We start from the raw sequence: 14,621 nt of genomic DNA on the forward strand, positions 1-14,621 counted from the left end.
CCCAGGCACTGGGGGTGGTTTGGGAGGAAGAGTCACAGCATCTCAGCAGGTCACAGTTACAGACTCACACCAAGCACATAATGTTTGTGTGCTTTTGGAAATGTAACGAGCATTACATGACCAAAGCACAGCAATGCTTTCTGTCCATTTCTTATGTGAAAATAAATACCTTTATATTTCAATTTTCCTTATTTATTTTAATTTATGACTTAAAAAAACACCTTCTGTTATACTTTGAAACAGTGCCTGGCACATAGCTGACACTTAAATATTTGCTAAATGAACAAATACTGCATATAGATAAAATACATGCATTATCATGATCTATTAGATGTTTAACTAAGCTGAGTAAATTCAGGGATCATTAGTGGTTAAAAAAAAAACCGGATGGGAAAACAGCAAGGCTCAATCAAACTCAAGGAGTTTGAGTCACACTGACATCAGGTTTAAATTCTACCATAGACAGGTTAGATGACCATGGACAACTCTGTCCCTCCAAGCCTCATCCACAAAATGGGGTACCTCCCTAACTACCTATCTTGAAGGGTTGTTGCGAATATCTAAATGAAAATTAGACAACCTATGTGACGAGCTCTGAAATGCAAGAAGCTTTTAAAAAATAGAAGGAACTATTAGAAATTCCCCATCAGATAATATCCTGTGTAACTAATGGCTACCATTCCCACAAAGAGCTCTAAGTCTTTTTCTTTCTTTCTTTCTTGTTTTTGGGGCGGAGTCTTGCTCTGTTGCATAGGCTGAAGTGCAGTGGCACGATCTCAGCTCACTGCAACCTCTACCTCCCAGGTTCAAGCGATTCTCCTGCCTCAGCCTCCCAAGTAGCTGGGACCACAGGTGCATGTGCCACCATGCCTGGCTAATTTTTTGTATTTTTAGTAGAGATGGGGTTTTACCATGTTGGCCAGGCTGCTCTCAAACTCCTGACCTCAAGTGATCCGCCCGCCTTGGCCTTCCAAAGTGCTGGGATTATAGGCATGAGCCACCATGCCTGGCCTCCTACCTTTCTTTCTTTATTTTTTTTTTTTTAAAAGAGATGGAATGGTACTAAGTTGCTCAGGCTGGTCCTGAACTCCTGCGTTCCAGAGTAACTGGGACTACAGGCTTACACCATATGCCTGTGCAAGTATTTCAAATGAGTTAATATCCAAGTAGAGCTTGAGATACAAAGGAGCAACCATGTCTTTTTACAAATCCATCTAATCACCTATGAAGTGTTAGCAATACAACTACTAAGACTGGCTATCAATCAAACCAACAGATCAAGAATATGCCTGCTAAAACAGTCACTGATATACAATGTCTTTGAACTTGACAAATGTAAAGATGTTACAACTATAAGGAATAGGAGTTGATACTTTGGTATGAGGTAATATAGCTTCACCCAGTCCTGAGAATTTACCAATGAAAATGTGGGAAGGTATATCTTAACTTTCTAGATCATAAAACACCAGTAAATCCATACCTCAAAAGGCTGCTAAAGGAGTTAAAAATATGTATTTTTTTTTTTAGAGCTAGGGCATGTGCACACATGGCGGGAACTACCATTGCTTTTAAAAGTGAAGTGATTAATCTCGCTTCACTTCCCTTTTTCCTCACCTATACACCTTCTTCCTTTATGTCCTGGCAAGTTCTCCGAAGTCATTATGCTCTCCCATGCCTCTTTATGTTGTGTCTCTTGCCTGGAACACCTTTCTCTTCTTTCTCTGGCCAACTCCTACTTGTATTTCAAGTGTCAAATAGTAGTTCCTCCAGAAAAATCTTCCCTGAAGCTCCCTCCTCCCTTTAGGCTAAGTTACATTACTCTCCTTATTCTCTTCCAAAGAAACTAGTGCCTAACTTGCTCTTAACTCTTGCCAAAAGGCATTGTAAATATCTGTTTGTTTGACTTTTGCTCCCATTAGGCCAAAAGTTGTTACCTGAAGGCCCATTTTCAAATGCTCAGAATTAGCACAGACCCTGAAACATAATAGGAATTAATAAATGACAGGTAAATGGATGAATAAAGCCCTATCAGTGGAGCAGGTCTACTGACTAGTGAAGAAGAGCACATTACCAAGCTTCCTGTTCTTTTTAAATTTATTTTTATTTTTAAAGAGACAGGGTTTCGCTATTATTGCTCAGGCTGGTCTCAAACTCCTGGGCTCAAGTGATCCCCCTGCCCTGGCCTCCCAAAGTGCTGGGATTATAGGTGTGATCCACTGTGCCTGGCCAATTTCTTTTTTCTTTTTTTGAGACAGGGTCTAACTCTGTAGCCTAGGCTGGAGTTCAGTGGCACGATCATTCCTGGACTCAAATAATCCTCCCACCTCAGCCCTCCGAGTAGCTGGGACTACAGGTGCATCACCAGGCCTGGTTGATTCTTTTTTATTTTTTGTAACAATTAAATAATAAATAAAAATCTCACTGTGTTACCCAGGCTGGTCTTGAACTCCTGGGCTGGAGTGATCCTCCCACCTCAGCCTCTCAAAGTATTGGGATTACAGATGTGAGCCACCATGCCCAGCCCCTGTTCTCTCAACTGGCCAAACAGGAAAGGACCTGCGAATGGTCACTGGGAGCAGGAGACCAGTCAGAGACCAGGAGCAAAGAAGGCCTAGCTGGCCTGAGAGAGAAGCACATCCCTGGTTAGTGGTTTTACAGTGCCCTGCTCTCTATTGCCTCACCCTTAAAATAAACACCACACCCTCAGTCAGAGTTTGTAAAAGTTTTAGTTTTAAACAGGTAAAAAGTCCATAAAAATCAAGAAAAAAAATTGGGGAAAACAAGTGTCTTTTCTTCTACTCCTTCAAATAATTAAAATAAAGGCAAGCTAAGAGAAGGCTAAGTGGGACATATTCTTCAAGGCAACGGGAACTCAGTTTTAAATGGGTTCTCATCAGGCAATGTTATTTCACACAGATTGTTTTGTGAAATGGGCCACTCTGATCTTAAGGCTACTTACTGTTTTCCCCAAGCATCTCTAAAAGGACCCTGTGGAGTCCCTTGCCACAAGAAGACTCTCTCAGGCTCCATCTGCCCTGATATTTCTACCTACACACACTTCCCCTATTCTCTGACCCACTGAATTTACTGCCTGAATGTTTCATTTCAGCCCTTAATCACATATTGCCATGTTGTGGAATTTAGCTTGTAAACTCCCTACAGTTGTCAGACATGAATCTAATTTCTCTTGTAAGCTAAGTATCACTTGCATATTATAGACACTTTGATATTTAATTAAACATCCGAGTTGTTCCTCAAAGAACATAATGACAACTGGGAAGCAAGTTCCTTCAATCTCACTACTTCATTCTCATACCCAAAATAGCCTGTCAAAACGTTTCTGAGAAACCATAATTTGCTGCTCAGAGGAACCAAGAATATAAATAACTCATAAAAAATATCTGTTTTTACAATGGGAAGACTAGTCCATAGATGGAGTAGGAGGGCACAAGGAGACAGTACTGAACTTTTCTCTTTACAGCTGCTGAAGAATCCACAGTAACAAACTAGAATGTGCAGAGTATCAAGGAGGTCAAACTGAAGCATATTTTCCCAAACTATAAATATTTTTAGTAGCAATACATTCCATCTGAAAGCTCTTAGCTGCCTAATGTGAACTGGCAACAAATGAGCCCTCATGTTTTTTCCCAGAATGGTGGTTTCCAAGTCTCAAACTTGCAAATAGATGGAACAATGAAAGCTGAGACTTGTCATTTAACAAACATTAGCACAATGATAATTACACTTTATTGATCCACGTGCACCACTGAGGAACAGAATCCTGAAGCGGGGAAAGGAGTACTTTATTTAGTGTTAGTTTTATTTTTTACTTCTCTTACTTTAAAATAAAATCATTGAAGTGATCAGTTCACAGTAAAAGGACATAAAAACAGTTGCTCTGATTTTCTTCTTTTGGCCTGCAACATTCCCTATACAACTTGATGGTGAGCAAGAAAGTAGTCCTTCATTTCCAGTATGGACAGCTAAGACACAAAAATACAGCTCCAACAAAGGCAATTTTCAGAAGTAGAAAAGGCCAATTGATTCTGAGTGTTTTTCTTCAAGCTGTCCCAGAAGAAGCAACAGATAGATAAACAAGCTGCTTCTCTGGTGAGTTATGCAATTCCAGAGGAGATCCTGCCTACTTGAACCTGTTTTGTCATTTACAAGTAAAAATCACAGTCTACCCTAACTATTGTTAGAATGGAAAAACAACATATGTATTAATAAAAAATTAGTAAACTTCTAAGTAAACGTTAATTAGCTCTGTATTTTACCTGCCTCATTTACCACTAGGAAAGAACTGTGTTTTTGTCTTCATTTCTGTAATATTTTCCCTGAGACTGACTGTACTACTAACTTTTCTCTTTGCAAATACAAAACATTTCTCCTTTTAAATGTAATAAATACTTTTTGCTTTATTAAATATGGGAAGAAAAACTTTTTAAAAAAGATTGGATTTTGATACTTAAAGGAATCATGTAAAACTAAGGATCTGTTTTATGATCCTGATCATAAAATTTGCTTTGGATATAAAATCAGTCTGGGTTTGCAGTTATTTAAGTTAATCTAGAAAACACCCAGAGAGAGAACAGCAATAAATTTGAAGGGAAAAAAGTCAAGCGGGAACTGGCTTGTTTTGGCAAGTTCATGGGAATACCAGTTTTGAAACATGATTTCTTATAATTAGTCAACGCTGCTTCACCACAAAGGAATGGAATTGGCCTTTTAAAAACAAAACAAAACCAAACAAAACCCTACCGTCTTTGCAGAAAACAAGTCTGAGGTTTGAGATGAAGCTAGGGATGGCATACCTGGAAGTAGCTGACCTAGTAGCTAAAGGCCATGATCACAGCATTACTGCTTATGCCTCTGCTCTTTTTCTCTTTTCTCTTAAGCAGTGATGCTGGAGATTATGGCCTTTAGTCTCCAGGTGGACTGGAAATCCAGCTTCATGGATATATTGAAATCATATTTCTCTCATTGCTTCTCCAACTGCAGTAAATAAAGTCTTTTGTTTGGTTATTGTGCTGTATCGATCTCAAAATTATTTTTAAAAAAACCCTGATATCCACTAAGACTGTACCTTTATTTTTTTCTATTTTTTGAATTGGGGTTTTGCTCTGTCACCCAGGCTGGAGTGCAGTGGCTCGATCACGGCTCACTGCAGCCTTGGCCTCCTGGGCTCATGTGATCCTCCCATCTCAGCCTCCTGAGTTGCTGAGATTACAGGCATGAGCCACCGCAAATGTTACTTTAAAATGTTGACACCTTTTTCTGTTTCTGCTACGTGTGAGTAGCTCTTATTTGACCAACCCTCTTGCAGACAGGAACTGTATACTCTGGATATAAGAAACAACTGTGACAGCATGGGAGAGCAACCATAGGCAGCCAGATTCTGGAGGGAGCTGTCATGAGAAGGAAGAGAACGGCACTGGGTGGGTCCCCACTTTTCAGTGGCCATTAGTGAGAAGGCAGGCGCCAGTGTTACTGGCTTGAATAACCAGAGAAATGAGTTTGGAGCAATTATAGCTAGCAAAAAGGTAATCGGAAAAAAGTGAAGGGAGAAATCCCAGAATGAAGACAGGCAGAGAAGGAGTGCTTCAAATTCTGAGTATATATTCTGCACACATCTCTGCTGATCCTAGAATCATGCACACACAGTGCAGACTCCAAGCAGCCCAGCTAAGGCTAAAATAATGGAACAGAGATTTGCACTGCTGCTCACAGCGGAAAGAGGCTCTGCTACCTACCCATCAGCCACAATGTCTAGGATATAATCTAACATTCCTTGATATACAAAAAAAAAAAAAACCCATAAAAATGTGACCCATTCTCAAGAGGAAAAAAAATTAAAGGAGGCTGATTCTAAAGATGACTCAGATGTTGAAATCAGCAAGGATTTAAAAGAAGCTATTATATTCAAGGGTATAAAAGAAAATTTATTCATAATGGATGAAACGATAGGAAATGTCAGCAGAGAAACAGAATACAAAAAAAAGAAGCAAACAAAAATTCTATTACCAAAAAATACAGTATATGAAATAAAATCTCCATTGGATGAAGTGATCAGTAGGATGGGGATGACAGAAAAGGAGTTAGGGTACCTGAAGGTAAGTCAGTAAAAATGATTCAATCTGAAGCGGGGAAGGTCAGGAATGGGGAGAGGAGGAAGAGGAAGGGGAAGAGAAGGTGACAACGAGAGCTTCTGGGACTCAGCCTGAAGGACACCATCAGAAGTCTTAACACACGTGCGACTGGAATCTCAGAAGAGAGGGAAAATAGAACAGAAAAATGTATCTGAAGAAACAATGATCTAAGTTTTTCTAAATTTTATAAAAGATATGTTTATAGATTCAAGAGGCTCAGCAAATCCTAAACACAACTGACATTAAGAAAACCACACCCAAGCACATCCTACTTAAATTGCTGAAAAATCAAAGAAAGAAAATCATGGAAGCTGCCAGAGAAAAACACACACTGCATACAAAGTAACAATTGTATGGCCAGTGACTTCTCATTAAACATAACAGGGCAGAAGACAGTAAAAGAACATCTTTAAGGTGCTGGGGAAAAAAAAAATTACAACTCTGTCAACCCAAAATTCCTATCAACAAAGTTAAGTTCAACTCATTTTTAGATAATATAAAACTAATAGAATTCACCACCAACTGATCTGCACCACAAGAAATGCTAAAAAAAATTATTCATCTGATGGGAAACCAAATGGAAATAAGCTCTTCAAGAAGAATGGAGCACTGTACGAAGTTAAATATAGAAGAGTGAGTTTGCTTACTTTATTTAAAATGGTATTTAAGATAAAAATCATAAACTAATTTTGTGGGGTTAATGGCATATGTGAATGTAACATACATGACAATTTCAGCATAATGGACCAAGGTGGTGGTGGTAAATGGACATTCCTGCTGGCAAAGTTTCTACATTTTATATGAAGTACAATGATTAACTCTAACTAAACTATGAAAAGTTAAGATGTATACTGTAATTCCCAGAGCAAGCACTGAAAACATAATACAAAAGGTATTGCTAAAATGCAAGTTTGAGAAAAAGGTTAAGGCAGAGAAAGAGAGGTGGATGTTAAGTTATTGGTTTCAAAGTGCCAAATTGTGCACTTTGGCAAATTGTGCAAAGACAGAACTATGATAGGGACGTGTGGGTGAGAACCAAAAAGGGGTAAGAATTATTGTTAGATATGAAGCAGCTAAGAATAATTTTCAGTAGAAACAATTTACGTTTTACATTAAATTCCTATTAAATTCAGATTTGCAGTTTGTTTTTTATCACTGGGAAGACTGCGGGCCAAAACAGAACACAAACAAAAAACTCCTGAAGTTCACATGCTGTGAACATTTTAACTGTACGTAGCTATAATTGTGAAACAGCTTAGTCTTCTAGATAATATCTAGACCCAATAGGATAGCAATGCAAAAAAAAAAAAAAATACTGGTATAATGACTAAGGAGGAATTTAGACACCACCTTTGAAAGGAATTTTGGAAGCAAATACAAAATCGCTTAAAAAAAACACAGTAGTACAAGCAATTTCATGTCATTAATCAAACCTAGAACTTCTAATTTAAAGTTCGTGTTGTGGGATAAGGGAAGAATCCAAAACAGGTTAAACATGTTTAAGATGCTGTTCACAGATTAATATTTTAAAATTCATATCTCTATAATACATCTATAAAACATCAAAAAGATGTGCTTGGTATTTTGATAACAAGTATCTTGGTATTCTTATTATCTGAATAATAAGAATAGTTAATACTCATTCAAATCTCACAAGAACCCTAGAAAGTAGCTACTGAGTAGAAAGAGTACTACACTTTTTAGAAAAGTAGAGAAAGACGGCCGGGCGCGGTGGCTCACACCTGTAATCCCAGCACTTTGGGAGGCCCAGGAGGGTTGATCACTTGAGGTGAGGAGTTCAGGACCAGCCTGGCCAACATGGCGAAACCCTGTCTCTACTAAAAATACAAAAAAAAGTAGCCCAGCACAGTGGTGCGCGCCTGTAATCTCAGCTACTCGGCAGGGTGAGGCAAGAGAATTGCTTGAAGCAGGGAGGTGGTGGTTGCAGTGAGCAGAAGACTGCGCCACAGCACACCAGCCTAGATGACAGTGTGAGACTCCGTCTCAAAAAAAAAAAAAAAAGTAGAAAAAGAAAAGTTAAAGATGTTCCCCAAGGATATTAAGTGGTGGGGCCAGGATTCAAAGTGAGATCTGTCATTCCAAAGCTCATAATTTTGCACGATTCTGTTACTGGTTACCTTAAAATTAAATACAAATAACTATATATTTTTAAGGATGTCTAACTATAACTGGTAACTCTTCTGTACTCTAAGATCACCAGGTCCCTTCTGGATTTTCAGGAAAATCTCTGTTGTTACTACTACCTACTTCTAAATTAGCTAACACAGTGTGTGTGCTTACCATGAGCAATGGACATGGATTATTTATTTATATGTTTGTTTGAGACAGAGTTTCACTCTTGTTACCCAGGCTGGAGTGCAGTGGCACGATCTCGGCTCACTGCAACCTCTGCCTCCTGGGTTCATGCGATTCTCCTGCCTTAGCCTCCTGAGTAGCTGGGATTCACAGGCATCTGCCACCACGCCCGGCTATTTTTTTGTATTTTTAGTAGAGGCGGGGTTTTACCATGTTGGCCAGGCTGGTCTTGAACTCCTGACCTCAGGTGATCCACCTGCCTTGGCCTCCCAAAATGCTGAGATTACAAGCGTGAGCCACTGCACCCGGCCAGATTATTTATTTAATCTTGAGAATATGGGTAGTATTTGTGATCCTGCTCTTACAAGGGAGGCTTAGTAACTTGCCCAAGGCCACATAATCTTTTAAACATTCTTTGAAAAATTGATACACGCACACATGTCCATTTACTCTCAAGGTGTTGCTATAATAGCTTGAACTGGCAGTCTCACAGATCAACTGAAATAGTTTGTGTTCCTTAGATGCCTTGCAGCTTCACTTAGGTATGATACTGAGAAGCGATATGAAAAAAAAAGTAAGAAAATCTGTCTGCACCCATGCTGAGCTAAGCTATAACCCTGACCAAACACTCTCCCAAAGGCTGGTTTTGTTTGATAAAGTTAAGAAGCAAAACATGACAGCACATGGTTAAGACAAATAACTAAAAACTGAAAACCAAAAAAACACGCACGCACAAAATCAAAAACAAAAACTCCAAACAAAAACTCCCAACACCCCCCAGCTGGAGTGAAAGCTCTATATACAAGCGGTTCCCAGCAGGCTCTCTGGATGACACCGTGTCATGGCTTGGCTCTGATTTGCTTGAAGTCAACTCTGGGTGACTTGTTCAAAACTTCCAAATCGGCTCCCCACTGTATGTGAAATTATTGTGTTCCACAGAAGCAAAATACAACACACTCAAAATATGCCAATGAAACAAGTAAAACCAGTAAGAAAATACTTTGAAAGTACAAAAGGAAGCCATGTCCCCCTCAAAGCCCGTGGGTAGGGCCTCTGTGCATCTGCTAGTGATGCTGCCATTCCTTTTAAGGACTTTGGTTGATACTCAAACAATGTAAGAAAACAAGCTGCAGGAATTCTCTGTAATAGTATTTTTTTCCTTTCTTTTTCCTTTTTAACTAACCAATATTAACAACCTGCTCACCAGTCCAAATCATAAGATGGCAGGCACACTTAATGACTTCTAGCCAATAAACATCAAGGCAGTCAGTAGAGCATGACAGCTTATAGCTCAAGCTCTGGACTCAGGTGGACCTAGCTTGAATTCCAGCTCTGTGTCCTTCTATCAGGTGCCTAACCACACAGTTTCAGTCTCCTCATCATCGTAAACTAACGATGAAGATACTACCTATACGTAGTATGCCCCAGGACTGTGAGGATTAAGATGAAATAGTGTATAAAAGTTCATGGCACAATGCCTGCCAACAGACATTGCTCTATAACTACTAGTTATTTCAATGTTATAACTAGAAGAGCTAACTGCAGAGGATGGAGACTTGCTATCAATGCACATGGTACTGGTTCTAAAAATATTCCTAAAGAGCTCAATGATAGAAGACCAGTTCAAAATCATGGACTGCTTTCCAAGGTGATACTTGAGACTGGTGTTCTTTAGAACATAAAGCCTCAGGTAAATCTGTTTACACAACACTTACTATATCCTCTCTACTTCACAGAGCAATATTCTTGATAGCCCCAAATTAGAAGTATACAAATTTCCACCAACAGTGGAATAAACTATAGGATATTCACAAATGGAACACTATATAACAATGAGAATTGAGTATAACTACACGAATAACATGGATTAATCCCACAAACTGTTGAGTAAAATAAATTATATATATAAAGTAAGTACTGACTGATACCATTTACATCATGTTCAAAAACAGGCAGAACCAATCTATGGTCAAGATAGAGGTTACCCTTGGAGGGTGAACAGTGATTAGAAAGGGGCATGTGGAAGATTTCTGGGGTGCTGGTAGTATTTTCATTTTGGTTGCTGGTGACAGACTGTATCCAACTGGTGGAAATCCAGTAAGCTGTCACTTCTTGGTGTGTTTATTAAACATCAATAAAAAGTTTTAAAATATACAAAAATCATAACACAAAATTTTAAAGTGATAATTGTGTTTACTGCCCTAATTTGCCTAAAATATATTTAAGAATTTTAACATTAACCTAAAATATTTTTCTAATATGAGATAAAGCTGATGTTCTTTTTTAAAATAGTGGTACCAACACCTTAGTCAAGAAGAGTACTGTTGGGACATATTATTTTTGAACATACCTGCAAAAAGGCAAATAATAAAGCTGTTTATTATGGTTTCCCTGTCATAGTACCTAACAAAGAATTAACTGAAGTAACCAGGAATTAAATTAAACCCCCCCCCCCCTTTTTTTTTTGAGACAAAGTCTCACTCTTGTCTCCCGGGCTGGAGTGCAATGGCGCAATACCGGCTCACTGCAACCTCTGCCTCCCCAGGTTCAAGCGACTCTCTTGCCTCAGCCTCTTGAATACCTGGGATTACAGGTGCCTGCCACCACGCCGGGCTAATTTTTGTATTTTTAGTAGAGACGGGGTTTCACCATGTTGGCCAGGTTTGTCTCGAGCTCCTGACCTCAGGTGATCCACCTGCCTCGGCCTCCCAAACTGCTGGGATTACAGGCTTGAGCCACTGCGCCCGGCTAAATGATTTTTCACTCAAAAAATATTTGGTGCGCTCTTATAACCTGACAGTCATAAAGCACAAAAATGCTAGAGTACGCATTATAAGAAAATTTCACTGTTGATCAATTGAAAGTATTCCTATTGAGGAATTTTTTATACTTGATAATAGGCCACTGGCAGGTTAATCTCATTCTACTTCTCAATGAATTCATACCTATGAATAAGTAAACAGGATGTAGGAAGGACAGGTTCCTTGAGTCACAGACATCACCTCATCAAAGTAGGACCAAGGTGATTTTCCTATGAGTTTGCCCAACATGTTCCATACCAAAAATCACTTCTCAACTAATATAGTCAAAAACAAATATACAAGGCTGGGCATGGTGGCTCATGCCTGTAATCTCAGTACTTTGAAAGGCCAAGGTGGGTGGATTGCTTGAGCTCAGGAGTTTGAGACCAGCCTGGGCAACATGGCAAAACCCCATCTCTACCAAAAATACAAAAAATTAGCTGGGTGTGGTGGTGTGGTGTGCATGCCTGTAGTCCCAGCTACTCAGGAGGCTAAGGTGGGAGAATCACTTGAGCATGGGAGGTGGAGGTTGCAGGCAGCAGAGATGGTGCCACCGCACTCTAGCCTGGGCAACAGAGGAGACCCCGCCTCAACAAAATAAAATACACACGCATACACTCCAGTTAAAGATGAGGGGAATCCCACAGTAATTTGAGTCTACTTGCAAATATTCTTTCAAGGTAGGGAAGGAGAATTCTTTCGAGGTCAAGAAGAAGAATGGGATTTGGGAAACATTTTTAACTACCATAATTTTAACGACCAAAGGGCTATCCAAACTTATTATTTCTTTGTTAAAATCTTGGAAATAATAAAAATTTTGAAAAAAATTAATAACCTATTTAGTTATTGTGATACACTGTTATATGCAAATGTCCAAGTAAGCAATTATATTATATAGTGACATTTTATAATATAAAATGGTGGCCTATTTGGTAGCCTAATTGTATATGTTCAAAACGCAAAGTTAAACACCATTTCTAAAACAGAACAATGCAGAATGAATGAATGCTCAACTACCTGTGCTAGTAGTATATAAGAAGATATCCATAAATTATACTACAGGTACCTATTTAAAGTAATTATATGTAGTTCTAAAAATATGTATTGGATACTTTTTGGAGATAATTTACCTCAGTGGAGCATTCCTTAGTATTAAGAATCACTCATATGTTCTAAGCCTTGAATTCAGTGCCTGGGTGACTCTTCCTGTATCTAGCTAGCTAGGCTACTGGCCTGGAGGTTTGGGCAACACCGAGGTGAGTATGACCATCCCTGTCCTCAAGGAGCTTCAGTCTAGTAGGGGATGAGACATACTAGACTGTGAGCTCCTCGAGGGCAGGAAAAGTGTTTTAGTCATCTTTGCCCCAGTGACTAGCACCAGGCTCAGCTACTGTAGGTGCTCAACAGTGTTTATCGAACTGAATTGAACACGGGTTGCAGCCATCTATAGCAGCATAGGGTAAGCCTGACAAGAAGAACAAAGAGCTTTGGAGACTCAGAGGGTGAAGGCTAGTCAGCTGTGAAGTCACAGAAGACCCAGTGCGTGAAAGAAGCCGAGAAAGATGGGTAAGATCTCCCCAAATGAAGAAGGAGGCATTCTGGGCTGACAGGAGGGTTAGTTTAGCTACTGTGTGTGAAAGGGATGAGAAGACAATCTCAGGCCATAATGAAATGAGGCCTAAATGTTACTGTGGAAGCCTTTACCCAAACATAAAAGGTGACAAAACCCCACTGAAAGTTGTTTTGACCAGGGGAGTTATTTTTCCAGTGACATTTCAGGAAGATTGACTAAGCTGGTCATGCCAGACAGATGGGAAAAGAGCGTGGGATGGAGGGTGGGGGGCAGGCACAAGGAGTGAAGCATGACTCCAAGATGGTGCCGAAGATAAAGGCACTATTCCAACCTGGAGGAAGTGAGGAGGAAGGGCTGGCATAGAAGAGAATGTAACAGCTTGCTTTCTGGATAAACATGATGCCCAGCCAGCAATTTAAAATGTAGGTTTGGGACTTGAGAAAAGGGCAGGACCAGAACTATAGACAGACAGAGGTAAGCAGCAAAGCCATGTGAATGGGTCAGACATCCTGGGAAGAGTAATGAGAGAAAATGGGAGAAAATAAGAGGCTGAAAACAGAAATTTGGTTAATATTCATGGTAAAGGTGGAGAGATGGCAAGTCAATGAGGTAGAAAGAGATGCCAGGGAGGTGGGGTGATAGAACTGGTATCAGAGAGGAACAATGCCAAGGACAGAATCTGTCAAATCCTGAGGAAAGATCAAGGAGGAACAAATAGGAGCAAAACAACATGCAATAAAGCATGTCCAAAAGCCAGCTGTAAAGGTGAGAGAATAGGCAGTTAAGTTATATGAGAATTAATTAAGGAACTGAAGATTTTTGGCTTGAAGAAACTAAGAGGAGGTAAGGAAGCTGTTTAGAATTACCCTGAAGGCCTATCGTGTGAAAGGCAGAGTAGGGTTGTTCTATGGGGCCTTGAAAAGTAGAACCAGGCCGGTGTGTGAGAGTTATGGGGACGGAGACCAAGAGCGTGGCTGGTCTTTCCAATGTGGGGCTCACTGTATTGTAATAACCAGTGATACCTCGGTCTCCTCCACCAGACTTTAAACTCTCTGGGGGCAGGGATTGGGTCTTGTTCACTGTTGGACCCACAGAACCTAGCTTAGAATAACAAAGGTGCTTAGCAAACATTTTCAGACTGGATGAATCCTTTGTGCTTCTACCTATAGGTCTTAATTCTTCTTTGAAATACTCTCCTTAAAAGGAATCCTGTCTAGCAGGTTGAACAGCTTGAACATGTGGTGAGAAGGCTGGGCTAGATGGTGAAAGGCCTGGACCCTGCAGTTGATGATTTTTAGGAAAAAGACTAAAATACAGCATGAAAAACAAACCCATAAAAACTCACATAAAATGGAGGAAGTCCCCAAGTGTGAAAACAGGTGACACAGCACACACTGAACCATGGTATTGTTTATATAATAAAGCTTCTCATGCCTATGTGTTATATTACAGTATCTTGTTTATTACAGTATTAAGTCTCATTCTAGACTCCAATTCAATTCAATTCAACAAATGTTTATTGAGCACTTATATGGTGCCAGGTTCTAAGCTTGGCATTGGGGCTACAGAAATCAGTAAGACACAATGATGCCCGTCAAGAGCTCTGAGTGTAGCTGGGGACATGCACAAGCGAACAAGAACCTCTCCAGGCCAGGCAACAGGGTAGAGTATGCACATGCTTCTCTGAGGGATTCAGCACACTAATGTCCCTGCGTGCTTCCTCCAGGGGTTTAACAGTACCTGGCACAAAGTAGTAGCCACAAAATGGCACCTGAACAAGCA

General features: G+C 39.8%; 1 protein-coding gene and 1 non-coding gene across 173 annotated transcripts in view; both read right to left on the reverse strand.

Moving 5' to 3' along the window:
- The window catches only part of PTK2 (protein tyrosine kinase 2), a 344,180-nt gene that overhangs the window by 62,145 nt on the left and 267,414 nt on the right, over window positions 1-14,621 (reverse strand). The window lies entirely within an intron of this gene.
- Window positions 12,520-12,609, reverse strand: MIR151A (microRNA 151a). The gene has a single exon (NR_029892.1). It is a non-coding gene; the product is annotated as a microRNA 151a (primary transcript).

The sequence above is a fragment of the Homo sapiens genome, chromosome 8 (assembly GCF_000001405.40).
Source record: "Homo sapiens chromosome 8, GRCh38.p14 Primary Assembly".
In the NCBI taxonomy this organism is placed as follows: Eukaryota; Metazoa; Chordata; class Mammalia; order Primates; family Hominidae; genus Homo; species Homo sapiens.